The following is a 5,330-nucleotide window of genomic DNA, read 5'->3' as shown; positions in this document are numbered from 1 at the left end:
CCTATACACCAATAACAGACAAACAGAGAGCCAAACTATGAGTGAACTCCCATTCACCATTGCTACAACAAGAATGAAATACCTAGGAATACAACTTACAAGGATGCGAAGGACCTCTTCAAGGAGAACTACAAACCACTCCTCAAAGAAATAAGAGAAGACACAAACAAATGGAAAAACATTCCATGCTCATAGATAGGAAGAATCAATATCATGAAAATGGCCATACTACCCAAAGTAATTTATAGATTCACTACTATCCCCATTAAACTACCATTGACTTTCTGCATGGAATTGGAAAAATATACTTTAAATTTCATATGGAATCAAAAAAGAACCCAAATAGCCAAGACGATCCTAAGCAAAAAGAACAAAGCTGGAAGCATCATGCTACCTGACTTCAAACTATACTACAAGGCTACGGTAACCAAAACAGCATGGTACCAGTACCAAAACAGATATATAGATCAAAGGAACAGAACAGAACCCTCAGGAATAACACCACACATCTACAGCCATCTGATCTTTGACAAACCTGAGAAAAAAAAGCACTGGGGAAAGGATTCCCTATTTAATAAATGGTGTTGGGAAAACTGGCTAGCCTTAGGCAGAAAGCTGAAACTGGATCCCTTCCTTACACCTTATATAAAAATTAACTCAAGATGGATTAAAGACTTAAACCTAAGACCTAAAGCCATAAAAACCCTAGAGGAAAACCTAGGCAATACCATTCAGGACATAGGCATGGGCAAAGACTTCATGACTAAAACACCAAAAACAATGGCAACAAAAGCCAAAATTGACAAATGGGACCTAATCAAACTAAAGAGCTTCTGGACAGCAAAAGAAACTATGAGAGTGAATGGCAACCTACAAAATGGGAGAAAATTTTTGCAATCTATCCATCTGACAAAGGGCTAATATCCAGAATCTACAAAGAACTTAAATTTACAAAAAAAAAAAAAAAACAATCCCATCAAAAAGTGGGCAAAGGATGTGAACAGACACTTCTTAAAAGAGGACAATTATGCAACCAACAAACATGAAAAAAAGCTCATCATCACGAGTCATTAGAGAAATGCAAATCAAAACCGCAATGAGATACCATCTCATGCCAGTTAGAATGGCGATCATTAAAAAGTCAGGAAACAACAGATACTGGAGAGGGTGTGGAGAAATAGGAATGCTTTTACACAGTTGGTGGGAGTGTAACTTAGTTCAACCATTGTGGAAGACAGTGTGGCTATTCCTCAAGGATCTAGAACTAGAAATACCATTTGGCCCAGCAATCCCATTACTGGTTATATACCCAAAGGATTATAAATCATTCTACCATAAAGACACATGCACACCTGCGTTTATTGCAGGACTGTTCACAATAACAAAGACTTGGAACCAACCCAAATGCCCATCAATTATAGACTGGATAAAGAAAATGTGGCACATATACACCATGGAATACTATGCAGCCATAAAAAAGGATGAGTTCATGTCCTTTGTAGGGACATGGATGAAGCTGGAAACCATCATTCTCAGCAAACTAACACAAGAACAGAAAACAAAACACCACGTGTTCTCACTCATAAGTGGGAGTTGAACAACGAGAACACATGGACACATGGAGGGGAACATCACACACTGGGGCATGTTGGGGGGTGGGGGCGGGGGGAGGGATAGCATTAGGACAAATACATAATATAGGTGATGGGTTGATGGGTGCAGCAAACCACCACAGCACATGTATACCTATGTAACAAACCTGCACGTTCTGCACGTGTACCCCAGAACTTAAAGTATAATAAAAAAAAAAGTAGGTTAAAAAAAAGTATTACAGACACAGTCTGATGCAAATCTTTGACTTGGCTAGCCTCAAGGCTTTTAAAAGTCTAAGATTCCTTATTAAAAAGTTCCAACAAAGCCAATTTTAAGAAGCCTATATGGTCAATAAATATTCTTACTGCACTTTATGCAAATAATCAGACCAGGTACGATAAGACTAAAACTTATTTTGCACACAAATTTGTCCTACTATGATTTGTCTTTGATAAAATGATGGACTAGAGAGAGAAAATTTATGTTCCAAAAGAAAACTATGACATATGCTATTAGATTCCAGCCCTGATCATTGTTTCCGAGTTTTTATTATTTGCCTATAATTTGGGCTGAATCCTGAATTATTTCCTGGCTCCAAGTGTTCCCTAGTTAACCCAGATATAACATATTTTAAAAAACTTGTTTTTTCCTGTCAGGAATGAGATGTATTTTTGAAGGACTACTTAAACTAGCAATTACAATTCGATTATTATGATTATAGAATCTCGGGATTTCTCTTCCTTCTTGTCAAGGTCTTTACCTGATGTTTGTCTCATTAAAAAAAAAAAAAAAGAAATCAGACTGATTACACTCTACTCAAGACTGAAGACATGTACTTTAACCTGTCTCTGTTACCAGTAAACCAAAGCCTTAAATTTCAGAATCCGTCAAGGACCCTGTGTTGTCCCTGGATCAAGCACCCATGGGCTTATGAATGTGTTGACCACTGGCATATGAGAGGTAATTGTCTATTAGGTTATGTGGCTCTTCCTCTTTCTATTTATAACTCCAATGTTTCTGAACACTGAAGTAGTTCATCGAAATTATTTTCCAGGATTAGACAAACCGTACCTGCAAACCAAGGAGATGAATTTTGGCCTATGTTTGGCAGAAGTCTCTTGCAATGGTGGGGAGTAACTCTCATGAACGTATAATTAGAAATCTGTCAACCACTCTAGGTAACTTAGCAAATGAACTAGCTGAAGCCGTAGCTACCAAATAAAGATCTTCAGACTCTTTAGCCAGGATAGTCGTGGATGACGGAATAACTTTAGGCTACATAGTGGTGAAACAGGGAGAAACTCATATGGAAGCTAGCTAACACATCATGTTGTGTTTAGATCCATACATCTTCTGAAGTTGAAACACATGTAAAAAAATAAGACGATATGGGAATTAATTATGGCAAATCTAGGGAAGAGGCTGAAAGAGCTGTAACACAAGCAGGGCTGAGACATGCCCCTTGCTTGCCACATTGTGGGCAAAGAGAAGGAAAGAAGAGCTGTGGCCCTTTGGGGAGCCCAGACCTGGAGCTCCCCGAGCCAGGGCTGTGATTCCCTCTTTAGGGCCCTGTGGTTCCTGGTATCTCCAAGCTTCTGGGTGCCACTGTGTTCCCAGTGTGCCAGCTGTGGAAGCTGCTTGCGGTGCCCGTGGTCCAGCCACAGCCTTGTAGAGAGCTGGTGCCCGTGTTGGCACCTGGAGCCACCTGCCCCACTGCAGCAGCCAGCAAGTCTGACTGCACAGTGGCCAGACCCCATGCTCACTCACACACCCCTTGCCACTCCATGCAGTCTCCCTTGGCAGGCGTGGGATCCAACCTGGTAGCATGAGCTGAGCACAGCCTGCCAGGCTGAGTGGGTGGGGCCCAGCAAAACGCAGGCAAAGGTGCCACCAGCCATAGAGGTTTCTGTCCAGAAAAGTAACACTCCAAAGATCCCGTAACACCGCTACTCTTCCCAGCCTCTGGAAGCTCTCAGTCTACTCTCTATCTTGATGAGTTCAATTGTTTTAATTTTTAGCTCCCACAAATGAGTGAGAACGTGCAAAGTCTGTCTTTCTGTGCCTGGCTCATTGTACTTAACATAATATCCTTTAGTTCCATCCATGTTGTTGCAAATGACAGAATCTTATTCTTTTTCATGGCCGAAGAGTACTCCATTGTGTATATGCACCACATTTTCTTTATCCCTTCATTTGTTGATGCACACTTAGGTTGCTTCCAAATCTTGGCTATTATGAATAATGCTGAAATAAATATGGGAATGCAGATATCTCTTTGATATACTAATTTTCCCTCTCTTGGGTATATACCCAGCAGTGGGATTGCTGGATCATATGATAGTTCTATTTTTAATTTTTTGAGGGACCTCCGTATTGTTCTCCATAGTGAATGTACTAATTTACATTCCCACCAACAGAGTAAGAGTGTTCCCTTTTCCCCACGTTCTTGCAAGCATTTATTGCCTGTCTTTTGCATAAAAGCCATTTTAATGGGGTAAGATGATATCTTATTGTAGTTTTGATTTCAATTTCTCTGATGATCAATGATATTGAGCATCTTTTCATATCCCTATTTGACATTTATATATCTTCTTTTTTGTTTTTGCTCATTTTTTGAGACAGGGTCTCAGTCTGTCACCCAGGCTGGAGTGCAGTGGTATGATCATGGCTTAATGTAGTGTTGACTGCCAGGGTTCAAGCAATCCTCCCACCTCAGCCTCCTGAGTAGCTGGGACCACAGGCATGCATCACCATGCCCAGGTAGTTTTTAAAATTATTTGCTATGTTGTTCAGTTTGGTCTTGAACTCCTGGGCTCAAGTGGTCCACCTGTCTTGGCTCCCCAAAGTGCTGGAATTACAGGTGTGAGCCACTGTGCCTGACCTGTGTGCCTTCTTTTGAGAAATGTCTGTTCAGATCTTTTGCCCATTTAAATAATTGGATTGTTAGTTTTTTTCTTATGAGTTGTTTGAGCTCCTTATATATTCTGGTTATTAATCCCTTGTCAGATATATAGTTTGCAAATATTTTCTTCCATTCTGTGGATTGTCTTTTCACTTTGCCCATTGTTTTCTTTACTATGGAGAAACTTTTGAACTTGATGTGATACCACTTGTTCATTTTTGCTTTGGTTGCCTGAGCTTTTGGAGTATTACTCAAGAAATCTGTGCCCAGACCAATTTCCTGGAGAGTTTCCCTAATGTTTTCTTTCAGCAGTTTCGTGTCTTTGATTTAAGTCTTTAACCCATTTGGATTTGATTTTTGTATATAGTGCAAGAGAGGGTTCTAGTTTAATTATTCTGCCAATGACTTTGGGAGGCCGAGGTGGGCGGATCATGAGGGCAGGAGATTGAGACCATCCTGGCTAACACGGTGAAACTCCGTCTCTACTAAAAATACAAAAAAAAAAAATTTAGCCAGGCATGGTGGCAGGCGCCTGTACTCCCAGCTACTTGGGAGGCTGAGGAGGAGAATGGTGTGAACCCAGGAGGTGGAGCTTGCAGTGAGCCCAGATCACGCCACTGCACTCCAGCCTGAGCAACAGAGCTAGACTCCATCTCAAAAAAAAAAAAAAAAAAAAAAAAATTCTGCCAATGAATATCTAGTTTTCCCAGCACAATTTGTTGAAGAGACTGTCCTCTCCCCCATGTATATTCTTGGCACCTTCATTGAAAATGAGTTAATTGTAAATGTATGGATTTATTTCTGGGTTCTCTATTCTGTTCCATTGGTCTATGTG

The 5,330-nt window shown here is 40.5% G+C and overlaps 1 annotated feature.

The window, feature by feature from the left end:
* Positions 2,547-2,747: a silencer, noted in NCBI's record as "peak4708 fragment used in MPRA reporter construct". NCBI's record gives its function as "represses an SCP1 promoter by STARR-seq MPRAs in K562 erythroleukemia cells {active_cell/tissue: K562}" and the evidence as "EXISTENCE:reporter gene assay evidence [ECO:0000049][PMID:32103011]".

The sequence above is a fragment of the Homo sapiens genome, chromosome 3 (assembly GCF_000001405.40).
Source record: "Homo sapiens chromosome 3, GRCh38.p14 Primary Assembly".
Taxonomy (NCBI): Eukaryota; Metazoa; Chordata; class Mammalia; order Primates; family Hominidae; genus Homo; species Homo sapiens.
This window is presented reverse-complemented; position numbering and strand designations above follow the sequence as displayed.